The following is a 16,867-nucleotide window of genomic DNA, read 5'->3' on the forward strand; positions in this document are numbered from 1 at the left end:
AAGTAAGACTCTGGGATAGAACGAGGAAGAACTCACTGACCACTAAAGAGTAGGTAAAGCACTAGGAAAATCTGTGAGAATGAGTCCCATATTGGTCATTTTGTTCATTAGAAATCTAACCTAAGAGAAACGTATCAACAGAATCTCAGGTGAAGCAATTTAGGGCAATAAAAACATATTCTCCTAAATGATACTGTCCCTGAGTGGCTCCCCTAGTGAAAATGAGAACATCTTCCTGTCTCTCAAATCACCCCAATTATACACAGGATTAGGTAACTTCCACAAATCAGGCCATGGAAAGTTCTTTGATTTAGAGATACCAGGCAGGACTCTTTTTTGAGGGGTGTGGGAGCAGGAGGAGAGGAGGATGGTGGTGAGGATGTGTGTGTGATAGTAACAGTTTTTCCTTTTCCAACATCAAAAACCATAGGCCTTCTAGGACAGCTTCTACTTTGATTGCACTTGGCTGTGTGAAAGAGCAGCACAAAATGAAGATAGCTCCTCTCACTGTGCTATTAAAGACTCCCATCTGAGAAAGAAAATGGGTGAAGGAGGCTATAAGAGATGGCCTTTCTATCAAAAAATCAACTTCAGAAGCCTAAAAGATCTTCTTCCTTCATCCTGTTCTCATTTAGCTTGCTAATAGACGCCTCATGAGAAAAGAATTATTGTGAAGCTGAGAAAGTAAGATTTAAATTTCCTAAGAAGAGATGGACTTTACGTTACAGGCAAGGGACATTTTTTTCTCTTTTTACAATAATTCCAAAGTGCTTTTTGACCTTGGAAGAAGAAAATCAGTGTTAAGATAGAATTGGTTAGGTCATCGCCTAAGGAGGCATAAAAGGCCACCAGGAAATAAATTAAAATTAAAATAGATTCTTTTATTGGGTCACATCTCATCCTCTCATTTATGAGCAAGGCTTCCACTCAAGCAATTGATACTGCAGGGGATAATTTTGCTCCTCTTGTTTTGACTCAAGAAAAAGTTACAAACAAAAGTAGGGAGGAAGCTGCATATGAAGGCTAAAGGACATTTTTAAAAGAATTCCAAGGAAAAGAGCACAGAAACTGTGGTTGTGTGCAGCCACTGATGAGGTGGACAATAGTTTTGAAATTATTGGTTCCTGCTAAACTAAGGAAACATACTTACATTCTAGACCAGACAAACATAGCAAGTCACGTGTTCTGACCTTGAACAAATAAATGTCATTTCTTTCCAGAATTTACCTTAAAATTCAATAAGTAATCTGGGATTATCAGGACATCTACTTCAGAAACTGTTAAACATTTTAGGATTACTTTTTCTTCTCTAGACTGGACAAATACAGGATATTTCCCTTGATAGGATACACCCTTCATTCTTGGAAAGGTCAGCCAATTCTCTTTTCTAGTAGGTAGTTTCCTACTTTGCATAAATGTAGATGCCAATGGTAACTGAAAATGGTCCCTTTACCTTTTACTCTATAGATTCGATCATCTGATTTACATGGATAATGCAAACAAATGGTGTTCAAGAGGTCACTCAGAAAATTAACACATTCTTCATATCTAGAAAGATAGGCAAGTATTTTTAAACCTCTCGATAAGATTCTGACTTAAATCTTACAAACTGCAGAAAGAAACTTTAAAGCTATCAGCCCTAAAATTTAGCCCTAATACTGAGACTCAAAATGCATATGGTAAATTGCCAGATGTCAAGCAGCCCTTTGAATTATAGTATCAGTTTCCAAACTATTATAATGCAAATCTCACAATATAATTTCAAGTAATAAATACCTATTCTTTCTTTCTTTTCTTTTTTTTGAGACTGAGTCTCGCTGTGCAGTGGTGTGATCTCAGCTCACTGCAACCTCCATCTCCCGGGTTCAAGCAATTCTCGTGCCTCAGCCTCCCTAGTAGCTGAGATTACAGGCGCCTGTCACCATGCCCGGCTAATTTTTGTATTTTTAGTAAAGACGGGGTTTCCCCATGTTGGCCGGGCTGGTCTCGAACTCCTGACCTCCAGTGATCTGTGTGCCTTGGCCTCGCCAAGTGCTAGGATTACAGGTGTGAGCCACTGTACCCAGCCTATTCTTTCTTATAGCTGTTAACAATGAAAATATCATTATTTTTGGCCAAACTGAAATGAGCAACAAGAGTGGTCATAAAATTGTGTATGTATACACACACATACAGACACACTTATTTAAAATCTACGGGTATTAATTGAGCACATAGTAGATACTGATCACTCTGTTAAGCCCAAGGGATACAAAGATAATTTTTTTTTTTTTTTTTTTGAAACAGGGTCTTGCTCTGTAGTCTAGTCTAGAGTGCAGTGGTGCACTCTCTGCTAACTGTAGTCTTGACTTCCTGGGCTCAAGCAATCCTCCCAGCTCAGTCTCCCAAGTAGCTGGAACTATAGGTGTGTGCCAGCATGCATAGCTACTTAATTTCTTTCTTTTTTTTTTTTTTTTTTTTGTAGATACCTGGTCTCCCTATGTTTTCCAGGCTGTTCTTGAACTCCTGGACTCAGCAATCCCCCCTCCTCAGCCTCCCAAAGTGCTGGGACTACAGGCATGAGCCACCACACCCGGCCAAAAAAATTAAAGAATATCTAGTAGGACAAAGCTACATAAACAGCAACTATTCTGCAATACATTTTATACTGTCACCTTAAGAATGTACTGTGGGGGCTGCAGCAATTAACAAGGTGGAATTGGAGAAGGCTTTGCACGGCAGATGCTACTTGTGTTGGCCTTTGATGGAGCAATAAGACTTTATAGGTGCAGAAGATGATGAAGGACATTCCAGGACAAACAAGATACTACAGATACAAAGGCACCGAGGTATGCCCATGCATGGAATCTCCTGGGAACAGATCACTGAGGATGGCAAACACTGCCTGCATGGGAGAAGTCCTGAAAAGAGCAGTGGAAAGATTAAGACCAGATTGTAAAAGGCCTCGAATGCCATACTTAGAATTTAGACTCCTCAGGTGACAGAAAACCTTACAGGAGGTTGAATGAGAAGATTCCACCTTGTTTCTAAGGAGGTAGAATCAGAAGATTCTAGAGAAGGCCACAGTCAAATTCTAGAGAAAGCCACAGTTTTTCTTTTTCCTTACTTTTCTTTTTTATTGTGCAGGAGCAGGAATTACCGAATGTAAGGCTGGTGTTTTCTAATATACCTCATCTCAGAGAATAGAATTTAGCCAAGACAGATTTTTATCACACTCTTAGCACACAGTGAGTCTTGGTACCACTAGACAAGACTGGGCTCTCTTCCCTAAAAGATTCACAATCGTCCCTCTTACTGTTGGTGTTCTGTTGTATTCACACTGCAAAGCAAAACAAGTGCCAAGCCACACCTTGAGTTCTCTGCTCTGCAGGTTTACTGCCTGACAAGCCTTAAAGTTAGAAAAATATTTCAAGCTGAATCTGTCACTAACAACTTTATATGGTTTGTTGTTTCCTGTGTTGCTTGTTGAGAATGCCTGGCCACTGAGAAACGAAATCGGAGGCAGATATTTCTGACAGCGAGCCTCCCTGCCGGGTGCTTTATCATTCTTTATGTTAAATACATCACCACATCTAAGCCCTTGCAAGCCGAGAAGTTAAGGTTATGGTGTGGACAATAAAAAACCGATTTTTCTCCTAATTGCCTACATGTATTAGAAGTTTTTGAATTTATACAGGCCATTGGTAGCAGAGAGTATAGTTCGTTTTTTGTTTCTTTTTGTTTTTGTTTTTGAGACAGGGTCTCACTCTGTCACCCAGGCTGGAGTGCAGTGGTGTGATCATAGCTTGCGGCAGCTTTAAACTCCTGGGCTCAAGCAATCTTTCCACCTCAGCATCCTGAGTAGCTGGGACTATAGGCATGCACCCCCATACCCAGCTAATTTTCTTTTTATTTTTTGGTGGAGATGGGGTTTTGCCACGTGCCCAGGCTGGTTTTGAACTCTGTGGCTCAAGTGCTCTACCTGCCTCAGCCTCCCAAAGTGCTGGGTTTACAGGCATGAGCCACTGCACCCAGCCCAAAGAGTATGATTCTATTTTTTTTTTTTAAATTTAATTCCTCTTCATGACAGTCTCTTGTGGCAGGAAAGTGGTTAGTTTATAGATAGAAGAAATCTAGGACCAAAGAGATGAAATAATTGGAAATCATTGTTTTGATAGAGTCAGGGGCAGAGTTTGTGACAGCATGACAGCAGCATTCCTTGGCTGCTGCTCTCAGGGGGAAGCCCTACAGCCTTGTTTCCACTGCAGACTTAACTGTCCTCACTCCACGTAGATCAGTTCGATTCCTGAGCCCGAATGACAAGTTGAACTACCAATAATGCCTTGCACAATGTTTGAAGCGACATAATCAGCCGGAGAGGGACTTGTGTCAGTTAGATTTTGTCTCCTTAAAAATCAAGAGCAAGAGTGGTAAGAGAGAAGTTTTTTAACAAGGAGGAAAACCCTAGACAGTTGTCTCTAAGGTTCTTCACCACAGCTTCAAGGACAACCAGGAAAAGAGCTGCTATTTGAGGCAACTTCATTATAAAATCATTTTTAATAAGCAATCTTAACAAAGAGAGGGAATACTCTTGTGGAGAAACCCTCCAGGGACCCAGAGGCTGCCCAGTTAAGTTATTAGGAAGTTTCACACAAGGGACCAAACAGCTATTTCATTGGCCTCGGGGGACAGAGTTTAGTTTTCACCTGTTCTCTAGAGGCACTGGTGTTATCCTGTCTACTAACAGCAGAGACTGGTAACAATCAATTATCCCGACGCCCCAACCTGGTGAGGGAAAGTGAATTTTCAGTTTTGTCGACACAAAAAGACATGGTGTAAGAGAAAGAGAGATAAATTAACTCAATATGATTCATTATACTGGAGACTAAGAACACGCAGCCAATGAAAATGCCTCATCAGGACCTTGGTATTCTTTAAGTAAAACGACAGAAACATATTCTAAGGAAATTAAGAAATATCCATAATGAGAAAAGGATGCTTAGTTGTCCTCTTACCATAATTGTCCAGCTACATGAGGGAAATAATTCTTTGTGCTGATGAAAAAGTAATAGTCACTGCAGTTGACTTTGCCTACCTAAGGAGTGAGCAAGGTTTGGAATTTGGGGTTTAAATTTTTATAAAGCTATTTGTAGCTGAGTTTAAAAGGGTTGGAAAGACAGAGGCTCCCAGGGTAGCAGAGTAGCCTGCAGCCAATTAGCAGCTCGAATGAAAGAAAGCAAGGAGAACCATTAGCCGCAAAATTCAAAGTGCTTATGTATTTTTCAAGTTTCACTGCACATTCCATGCCTCTGATTTTAATGAAATGGCAAGAACGGGTCTTACAATTAGACCTTAACACCGTGGAGTTAGAGAAAAAGTGAACATCCTTTTTCTTTAATAATCAGAAGAGCCTTCTCTTTTCGGACCAGATCTCTCCTTCCCAATAAGCGTTTTTTTGTTTGTTTGTTTGTTTGTTTGTTTGTTTGTTTTTTTAACGTAGTTGGTCACAGGAGCACACACAGAAGTAGTTCTAACTAAGGATAAAAATGTCACCTGGGTTCAGAGAAGGGACTGGAGCAGGGAACATCTGATTCACATAACCCTAACTAAATGACTGTGGCAGAAAAACATTGTTTATAGGTCACTGCTTTTTTTCACACACATTCTGTGGCTCCACATTGGTTATGAGAGAAAGCCAAAACCTGCTCTCTGTTCTTACTGGTCTCCCTTTTCCTTGTTAATACTCTACTCCAGTCAGACCGATCTACACAATCATCCCTGATCACACCTAATTCTTGCTACCCTTCCAGAGCAAGCTCAGCTCACCACACATGTTCCCAACTCATACAGCATTTAAACACATATTCTATTAGGTTGGTGCAAAAGTAATTGTGGTTTTTGCCATTGAAATGGCAAAATTTCATAGCCCTGCATTTTCCTGCAATTCTTTCATTACTGAAAGTTCCTCAAATGTGTGTGTCCTTTCTCCTAGATACAGACTAAACTATTAGACAGGGAGGAATATAAGTTAGATTACCTATACTGCAATGTGCCTTACACAATGTTAGGCACAGAGCAGGGGTTAAAAAATATCAAGCTAAGAAAATCTGCCTGGCTCCCTGCCCTATCTTTCCATAGGTATGAACTGCAGTCTACTTTCCAGCCTCTGTTCCTCAGACCCCGATATTACAGGTGTCTGGATTGCCTAGCATATAATTTCCTTCCCCTTTCCTCTAAGAAGAAAATGTAAAATAAAAGATTTATAGATTAAGGCCTTTCCACTGAATCCAAACCTTAATCTAGTATATCCTACCTCTTTTTTTTTTTTCTTTTTTTTTTTTTGAGATGGAGTCCCACTACATTGCCCAGGTTGGGGTGCAGTGCTGTGATCTCAGCTTACTGCCGCTTCGGCATCCCAGGTTCAAGCGATTATCCTGCCTCAGCCTCCCTAGTAGCTGGGATTACAGGTGCACAGTACCACACTCAGCTACTTTTTGTATTTTTAGTTAAGATGGGGTTTCACCATGTTGGCCAGGCTAGTCTCAAACTCTTGACCTTCAGTGATCCGCCCGTCTCGGCCTCCCAAAGTGCTGGGATTACAAGCGTGAGCCACCATGCCCGGCCACTCCTCAATATGCCTTCTAATCAGTATCCTTGGCTATTAACTATTTAAGACAGTAGGAGCTGGAGTTGATGCCTAGGAGACATACAAAATCAAGAAGGGAAAGAGCTATCACTCCTACATAGAAAAACATGTTTTCCCAGAAGTGGAAGTGGATTGGGTGGAGAACATTCCATTGCAAGGGATTTTGGCAGTCAAAGGAAAATATTTAATTGAATAGCTTAAAAATCTTCATCCTTATAATGTATAGATGTGGATGTCAATTATAATCCAAAGGGCCATGTGACTACAAATGCACTAACTTCCTGGCCACAGAATTGATAAAGAAATCAGTGTAAAAAATTTAGTGTCATCACTGAAAGTGAATGTAGAGTGATCACTCTCTTCTTGTTTTAAACACATTGGCATCTCTGTTTCTTCTACGTTTTTATTCCTCTGCGTACAGATTGCAATAAAAAGAGAAGCTGATATAAGTGTAAATCCAGTCCTAAGTTCAGATATGCTTAAACATCCTCAAAATCTAGATGTTAATTTTCTTATATCTCCTATATATCCCATTGATATATATATATATATATATATATATATATCTGTTTCCTGAGCGTTCTGTTAGCTTCCAGGGTTTTTTTGGGTTTGGATAGGTTTCAAAGAAACCACTGTGTCCGGAATCATAGTACTGCTTTGTGGCAATGAAAGTTATAAATGAATTACTAAGTTGGTCTAACAAAAAAGTATAAATTTATTATAAATGTCATTAATGTCCGTTAAAGGCTTTGTTTCAGAGGAAGATGGGTTTGTGCTGTACGAAATATATGTCATTACTGGTGTGGGGTACATAGCTGTCCTAGAAGCAGAAGTAACCACTTTGAACAATTGTTTTATTATGGAATCAGTTGTGTTGTATGACATTAAGTAGACATCAGTTCTTTGATGAACTAAGTTAAATTGTTAAAAAGATAAGTAATGGTCATTTAAAGTAAGAAGGTTGGCTAGGCGCAGTGGCTCACGCCTGTAATCCCAGCACTTTGGGAGGCTGAGGCAGGAGGATCTCTTGAGCTAAAGAGTTCAGAGACCAGCCTGGGCAACATAGCAAGACTCTGTCTCTCTCTTTTTTTTCTTTTTGAGACAGACTCTCACTCCATCACCCAGGCTGGAGTGCAGTGGCGTGATCTCGGCTCACTGCAACCTCTGCCTCCCGGGTTCAAGTGATTCTCATGCCTCAGCCTCCCAAGTAGCTGAGATTACAGGCGTGTGCCACCACTCCTGACTAATTTTTGTATTTTTAGTAGCGATGGAGTTTCACCATGTTGGCCAGGCTGGTCTCAAACTCCTGACCTCAGGTGATCTGCCTGCCTCGGCCTCCCAAAGTGCTGGGATTACAGGGGTGAGCCACCAAGCCCAGCCAGCAAGACCCTGTCTCTACAAAAAACTAAAAATAAAAAACAAATTAGCTGAGCAAGTCCCAGCTACTTGGGAAGCTGAGGCAGGAGGATCTCCTGAGACCAAGAGGTTGAGGCTGCAGTGAGCCACGCGCATGCCACTACACTCCCGCTTGGCCAACAGAGCGAGTCCCCTTCTAAAAAAAATAATAAAGTAAGAACGCTGTACAGTTTCCAGTAGACTACTTTGTTTAAATACTTTTTTTCACATAGTGGGAATAACATTCCCCTTTCTTACAATCAGTTTGTTCTTCAAGCTTAGAAGCCTATGGAGGTAGCATAGTTGTAAGGTAAAAGGAAACCTTGGTCAATTGTAAGAATGACTATGTTGCACTTGGCTTTCTTCCTATACTTTAGAGTGGAAGAACCACTCTGAAAAATGAAGCTCTTCATTTTAAAAGCATTTAAACTGGGGATTGCCTTTACATCCTGGCTCCACCACATACTAGCTAGTTGTAGGACCCTGGACCTCGGTTTTCATCTGTAAAGTGGGGATAGTAGCAACACCTACCTCACAAAGTTGCAGTAAAGATAAATAAATGAACACTTAGAAAGTGCTTAGAGAAGTGCCTAGCACTCAGTGCCCCACAAGTATTAGTTAATGTTGATACTGGAGATAACGGTGTGGCTCTTATGTGTGCACAAGGGGGCAATCTACTCTGTTTTGACTCCAGGCTTTGCCCAGCTGGGTGAGCTAACGAGGTTTTTCACTTCTCTAAGCTACTTGTCTCTCATGTACATTTTCTTATTTAAAATGCGGGTGCAAGCAGTACAAAGCTCCTAAAGCTGATGAGCAGATTAAATGAAATAATGCACGTAAAGCATTAAACACAATGCTTCGAATATTCAGATTGCTTGGTAGGTGGTGTTCCTGCTATTGCTGCTGCTGCTACTACAAGTAATGGTACTACTGCTATTACTTCTGCCATTATTACTGTCAATATGAAACTAAGCATATTGCAAACTTATGTCATAGACATCTAGCGCTTTTTAAAAAATCAATCTAATCATGTCTAACTAAGCATTTATCAAGTATGTAATAAGTCTATCAAGTCCACACCAATCCCTCGTAGGCTAGGCATGTTTGTTTTCTCCCTGGTAGTGATTATGGATTTTAAAGAGCCAATCACCATCTCAACACACCCTTTGGAACGTATGTTATGAAGTGGGAATACAAATACTTTTTGTCCAAATGCAATTCATGAACCTCAAGTCTACTAACTGGGCAAACTTGAATCAACTGGATGTTGGGATGGAAATGCTCAGGTAACTATTCAGTTTTTCTATGGAGTTCACAGGTCCTCGCCATGAACTGTGGGCTTTAAGACTATGCAAATCTTCTACTTTGGAAGAACTGACTGGCAGGGCCAAGTGCAATCCATTTATTTTTAATATGATGAGACAGAGAAATCCTGTTAAGCTTAGGAGGGCTTGGCTGTAGCTGAGCAGGCTGACTCTAAACAAGGCAAACGCTTCCAGACAGTACAGAGGGATTTTTACTTTCTCAGACTGGCTGATTTGAAGAAACTAAATAGATGTTACTCTGTAAGAATGGGTGGAGATGAGCAGCGGGGATAGGTTTTAGCACCCAGGGTTAAATTTTTGCCTTTTGCTTTATTGCTATTTTATGCTTGGATCACAATATGAGAATCCTCGATGTTTTCTCTAGTTTTCTTTTCCTCTCCCATACTTCCAGCTTAGTTTGTTTTCCAGTTATGAGCGACTTATGGAACTGGTACACCTGGCATTTGTGTTTTCAGATTGTTTTATGTGATTATGCACTTCTATCCCACCCTATCCCCTATCTTGTCTCCCTCTAGTCTTTACTTACAACTAGTCTGTAAACGCCTGGAAGGTAAAAAGCCTATCAGCGCAGAGTAGGTCCTCAATGAATAGTTGTCCCTTAATTAGCCCTTAAGAGGCCAGCACCTGTATTTTAGTCATGACCCACTGCCAACAAGCTTGCTGTCTGAGATAGCTGGTAGCCTTGGTAAGCTAAGCAATGAATCTTCCAGTTACTTTGTGAGTACTAGGTTATCCCTTTTCCTGACTATTTGTCAATGGGCAGACAGGATCTGGATGAAGGCCTACTAAAAGAACTTCAGCGTGGCTTCTTCTCACATCTGTCCTAATGGAACACCCTGCCAGCAACAGAAATTATAACTGCCGTGAGTCACTGTGAGTCACATGGGTTGCCACGGAAACCTACTAACTATATCACCAAAGCACCTTCCATTAGCTTTGCCAAGAATGGTTCCTGAGTTTTCCTGGACTGTGAAAACAATGTGGGTGAGCCCCAAGTTTGGGGTTGCTAAGAGTCTACAATAAAAAAGTATGGCCTCAAGGATAGGAAAAAAAATGAGAAAATAAGGTTATTCTAGTTTTTGGATCTCCTGAGTAAATGGCAACAATTGTGACAACTTGTTGGGTTCATTTTGTGATATCAATGAATGCCTATGGAGAGGAGGTTGAGGCCTCAAAACTAATTTTCTCTAAGTCAAATTCAAAGCCAAGTCTCTGGGGTGAAAAGTGAATACATTAACCTATTCCATTTTAAATGATTGCAATAAACACTTTTTAAAATGGATGCAAAAGATTAGTTCTCAAAGAAATATTTTGATTTGTGCTAAAATATTTTACTATTGAGAACTAAATCTTTTTATAAATAACACAGTGCTTTAATTTTATATTGTAGGTATTAGCCTGCTACAATCAAACATTTGAAAATGTACTAGATTACCTTTTAATGGCTATTCACGTTAACTGAAAATATTTCCGAAGATTCAGAGGCGTATCTTGTTTGGGTTTTTATTGGGGAAAATTAACAACTCAAGTTGGGAGTAAACTGACACATTTTCCTGACTGCTTCCACTGAGTAACCTGCACCTTTCAGAAGCCTGTATCTGTCCCTCAGTGTGGGAGAAAGCAGGCAGGGCAGGCTAGGACAAGAGGTACAAGGACTGTAAACAAGGATGAGAACAGAAGGAAGCAGCAATGGTCTGATGCCTCTGGAAACGGTTCAGGGGCCTACCAGATATCTTTTGGGTCTGTGTTGTGGTGGCTGTCTGATATATGTCCTCTGAGGTTAGGACTCCATGATGCTAAACTTTCCAGTAGCTGGAAAGAGCTAGGATGATTTGTTGCATCTTTTCACCTCCATATTTATCCTCTTGTAACGTTGTAGCAAATGCAGAACTATCCAAGAAGAATTAGACTAAGAATTCAGGAGTGAATGACTCGTTGTCCTTGGCAAATAATAAAAACCAACACAGCAGCTGATTCCGAAAATGATACTTATCTGCATGGTGGCTATTTCAGCAGGAAAGAGACCAGAACAAACTTGTGAAACACCAAAGCAAAGCAATCTTGAAGGGGTCCAACCAAATACATGTGCTATATAATCCCCAGGAAAATTAAATTGCAATTCCACACCACAGTGTAAAATTGATCTAATATTAAAAACTCTCTTTTATGTTTGCACACCAAAAACCAACAGCAACATTTCCTATCAACAATTGAAGAACATCACAAATATAAGAATTCCTTGAACAATTTGGGCACGAGAAACACTAGAAATTCCAAAGCTTGTCTTCTCCCACTGGCCAACTAAACAGAAAACAAACACTTAAGGTACCCTTCTCAGAAGCTTAGGAGAAACTGAGTTCTCCAAAGACTATGTCCATGGGCTCCTCTGAAGCTTAACAGTCAAATTTCCCTTCATGGGAATTTCTGCCTCAAGTCACCCAAAACATTTATTTTTTTTAAAAGAAACAATACCTGTGCTTTCCAGATAACAAGGTGGACTAAAATACTATCTGGTGTCACAACTATTCAGGCTCATTTTGCAGTATGTGCACCTCTGTCTTGTGTACCTGTGAGCTGACACTCTGGTCTGATAATATATTCTGCAGCTGTACATATTAATTTGTAAGTTGAACAATCTCTCCGTGAGGGCAGTTAGGAAACCAAGATTGAAATTGCTAATGTCGGGTGACTTCAGCTGTCGATGATTATGTAGTCAAGTCTTGACTAAGGTTTCCAGAACCCTGGCTAAAAATGGAAGTTTTGAGACGGTACAAAAATGAATTCATACACTTCACTGATAGTGAAACTTTTTGAAGAACAGATGTCAAGATGATTTAAGAGGAGCTGGAATTTAACATCTTAAAAAAAAACGTATAGGCAAGTTAGGACAGTTCAGTTTTCAAGAAAAATCCAACAAATGCTAAAGAAGAAGTAATTTGGGTGACTGTTATTAGAGAAAAAACTGACTGATTGTCTTTCTCCTCACAAGCTGTGGGCCCTGTGGAGATGCTAAGATCAGAAATACGATGGGCTGTCTGCTGAGCTGGGTGACAAAAACAATCTCCATGTTCAAGTGGCATGGAGGACTTCCACTAACATGTAACTTGGACAATTCAATTTCTCCTTGGCATATGTAAAGTTTTGTGTCAACTGTGTTTTCAGGTGCTATTCTTTCCAATTTTGTCATTCGGCCATTTTTTATTCTGGGCCCTCTCCCCCAATCATGAAAGTAAACATCAACCAAAACAATATCATTTCTGATCCAAATCTTTCTGTCCATTATATAAAAGGAGCTTTAAGTCTTTCTACATTGACTTCAAGCTTAATGCCTAAGAATTTTCTTGCTGATTTTCACAGTTAGAAAGGCACTCAAAGTCCACCCTGTGTGGCTATATCTTGATTTTGCATTAAAGCCAGTATAGCTGATGAAATTCTTTAAGCCTTTGTGGAAAGACCCACCTGGTTCAAGTGTCTGTTTTTAGAACACCAATTTTTCCTCTCTAGCCACCACTCTCATGCTGTCATCTAAGTCCCTCCATGAATTTAAACTCAACCACAGGTTATTGTTTCTGCAATAGCCCAAGAAAATTATTCTCAGGGATGACAGTTCCTCGAATGTCTCTCTTTATATGGACTGTCTGTATACTAGGTAACATCTAGATTTCTGTCTATGTTATCTTATTAGTTGGGATGTACTCTTCATGTCCAGTGGAGCTGAAGTAGTGGTTTTGTTCACTTATCTAAGAGCCAAGTCATAATGCAAACAGTCAGTAGCTTTCTGTACATTGCCAGGTGGCCAGGAGTCCATACCCCAAACCACCATAAACAGTAGGCACAATCATCAGCCCCTGTTGGGGAGAGGCCCAGGACTGAGCTAGCAGAAAGACTGAATTACTTACCACCTCTAGAGTGGGTCCCTCCGGGCCAGGGACGAGCTCATGGGCAAGGCTGTGCAAGGAAGCGCTCTGTACCATGCCTGCCCTGCGGATATACAGAGGACTTCAGTCTCCTGCACTGTCAATCTCTCAGTCATCATGAGCTCAATTATGCACCGACAACAGCAAGAACAAGAACAACAACAACGACAAAACAACCCCCAAAAAGCTAAGGGTCACAGACTACCCTGATGGAGGGACAGCCAACTGGAACTGTGCATTGAGAGATGGAGGTGCCATCCGGATCATGTGTCTAGTACGGGCCTGACCTTTTCATTGTTCCTCAAGCAAACATTCCATTGAAGGCCATGAGAGAGCCACGTGGAGAGACTGCAGGACAGGGCCCTCAGAGTCAGGCAACTTCTCATCCAATTTGACGTTTTTTGGTTTTTTCTTTTTTTTTTTTTTCATTTTTGTTTTCTACAAATACAGATAGACAGACAGACAAACCCAAGAGCAGATTTCAAGAATCAACTGAGGCACAAGATAAACTACTTTGATGTAATACAGATGTTTTCCCCCAAACGTTTCACATGAAATAAAAAAATTTAAAGTGTAATTAGGAAAAATTGGGGGATACATCCTTGTTGTCCCTGTATTGTGCCATAAATATCTCCACTGCTTGCCTTAGAAGAATGCCCAAACATATCTCATAGGTAGCACGTATCCGTGGTCTAAAATAGTCATCAAATTCTAATGACACCATTAATTCAAAGCCTAAATAATATGCTGGTCAATTACAGTGAAAGTTGACTGCCTGCATCAATGATGTCTTGTTTCATCCTGAGGTTCAAGGCACAGTCAAACATCATTGCTCAGATTGCAAATCACAACACCTTACATTGACGTGAGTTTGTAACTTATGGTGTAGTTCAAATGAAGGCAATTGATGAAAGCAGTTGAACCTGAGAAGTGGGATGAATACAGAGCATAAATCCAGCACACGTTTCCACATCAAACTACCGATGCCATTTATCAGGGCCCTCGCAGGCCATGCCCGTGGTCGAGCGACAGCGCCTCTATTCCCAGTCAGCATCTCTGCTCCACAGACATGAGTACGAAACGGCCTAATTTGTGAACTAGTGGTGAGGAAAAGGAGACCAAAGCTTAAAAGAAATCAAGGTGATGTTTCCTAGAAACATACCAGCTCTTCTAAGAAGGATCTAGGATAAGGGTGATCAGTAAGTAATTGATCCTCCTGGCTAGATTTCATGATTTTTCTAAAGCTTCATGGCTGGAAACACTGGAATTCATCAGAATATGTCTCTAGCCTCTCTCTTCAACACACACTCAGTACAAACAGGTGGAGATGTGCCACTTCCGACCACTACAGATTGAAAAAAAATGACCTCTGTTGACCATGGATCACAGCTGAAACATTAGTATATACTTGAAGGGTCACAGCAGCCAGACATATGCGAATTCCAACTCTTCAGAAAACTTTGGACAGAAAAAAAATGCATTACTTACATGTATGTGTCTTCTTCGTTACTGAGATACCTGGAAGAGAAGAAACAATAACATAGGTTAGAAAGTGCCCTGTGTGTGCTGCTTTGAATGTCCGTCATTCCCAGTGTGCTCAGGAAGGCGTTTAGTTCAGATGGGGAAGTGGAAGCAAGACCAGTTTTAACATTGCACAGGAGTGTCACTAGACCTACCCCAAAGGCATGCAACCGTGACTGATGAGGCAGCGACCATCACCTCCTGGTTTAAGAGGTTCTGTGGTAAAAGTGGGGAGCATGGACAATAACTAAACAGGGTTAAACAGGACGCGAGGAGACTCTTATTTTTTATTTTAAGTAGGGGAGACAATCATGTTTATAGGCAGAGTGGGAAAGATGTAAGGCACAAGAGAGCAATGCCAGCCTACTCAGACCAGGGTAAGATGAGCAACACGGCAATTAATTTGCTATGGCCATTGGTTCTGTGTTTACTCTTTAATGAAAACGACCCTTCCTCCTCCCATGAAGCACAACTTTTAATGGTGAGGGGGAAATACATCCACCAAATGTACCTATGTGTCTGTACTCATTAAGGTCAGAAAGGGAATCACTGCTACTTCTCTAAAAATGGCCCCCAAATGTTTCATACAGTTGAAACACAACTGAATGAAATGTATGAACACAAACTACGAAAACACGAGCGATTCATGAGTCAGCACCCTTGATATTTCAGGATGATTTATAGGTAGCAGGTGACAAATAGAACTAAGCAACATTTGGCACAGAAGTCCTGATAAAGATAGCATAAATGTATGCTTTGATGCAAACAACACTATCTCCATTTCAGAATTACTACATTTTGAATCCTTTATGCTGCATTCTTCTTGGGAGACGTTCTTGAGACTAAGTAGGCTCAAAGTCATAAAACTGTTGAAAACATTTAGCCTGTGACTAAGAACTGTGGTAAACCTTGAAATTTTTTTTTCTTTCAAGTTATTAAGGGAACTATTTAACCCTCCTTTGGAAAGTAAAAGTTGTTGAAAAATTTGGCAGCCACATCAGACCTATTACTTAGCTAGGGAACATGTCGTACGGGGAAGAAATCTGTTGTGAAAATCCACGGCAGACATTTTTTAAAAAGTTGGTTCCGAAGTTGTGAGCCAAGACCAAAATCACACACTTGCTCCCCCCAACACTTTCCAAAGGACTTATTTAGGGAAGTTGAAATTACATAGCCCAACTCAAATTCTTCTCCCCGACCCCGCAACTTTTATTGAGGAAAACTATTGTTTTGTTTGTTTGTTTGTTTGTTTGTTTGTTTTAAATCATGTTTGAGTTGGCTTCACAAAGTGAAGTTAGAACCTTCTAAAAAAATCCTTGAAGACTGTCTCACATGAAAACTACAAAAGTGTTCTAGAATTTTTTGAAATAACCTTTATCGTGGGAAGGGAACTTCCCCCAGCAGCAGCAGGGAGTAAAGTTTAAAATCTGAATACAATTTGCAACTCCAGCTCATGACACCAGCACCAATAAATTGATACATTAGTGCACTTTCAGCATTATGAGAGATATATGTGTATTTTCCTTAGGAAATAGTGCTTTCTGTAAAATCACTTTGAAGAGAAAGTGCTTAGGCTGTCTCTCCTGATTATTCAAAACCTCCACACAATTGGATTTAATACAGCCCAAAACGACCTATCTATATTCGCTGAGTGTGGAACTATTTTCTCTTGACATCCAAAGGCCTGATGAAAATACCACTGCTTTGACTTTTCTACTTAAATTTATTATACAGCGTGATGCAGTGTTCTCATCAAATATTTTCATGACGATTACATTGATAATAGATTTTGAAAATCTTCCCAAGAAAGCTGCTTGATCTCGGAGGTCGCAGTAGCTGGCATGGAGCTAAAACTTTTCATTATCTGTCTCCAGGAGGAAGCATGACTTTGGCAACAACACAATCTCTCGGTCCCTCAGTTTTGTTTAACTGTCAATTAATAATCAATATAAATAACTGGGAGCTACACTTATATTGGAGTTGCCAGATTTAGTAGATAAAATACAGGCTACCCAGTGAAATTTGAATTTCTGATACTAATTTGTAGTTTATCTTACATTCAAATTTAACTGTGCATTCTGTAT

The 16,867-nt window shown here is 40.3% G+C and overlaps 1 protein-coding gene across 3 annotated transcripts in view; it reads right to left on the minus strand.

Annotated features, from left to right (window-relative positions):
- The window catches only part of RORA (RAR related orphan receptor A), a 741,019-nt gene that overhangs the window by 175,623 nt on the left and 548,529 nt on the right, over positions 1-16,867 (minus strand). For 2 of the 3 annotated variants that reach the window (NM_134261.3, XM_011521875.3), the window contains exon 2: positions 14,751-14,780. In NM_134261.3, the coding sequence (NP_599023.1) occupies positions 14,751-14,780 (30 nt within the window). Of the gene's footprint in view, positions 1-13,244; positions 14,781-16,867 lie in introns of all 3 variants that reach the window. The other variant, XM_047432928.1, reaches the window with a different exon arrangement.

This window comes from Homo sapiens, chromosome 15 (genome assembly GCF_000001405.40).
Source record: "Homo sapiens chromosome 15, GRCh38.p14 Primary Assembly".
Taxonomy (NCBI): domain Eukaryota; kingdom Metazoa; phylum Chordata; class Mammalia; order Primates; family Hominidae; genus Homo; species Homo sapiens.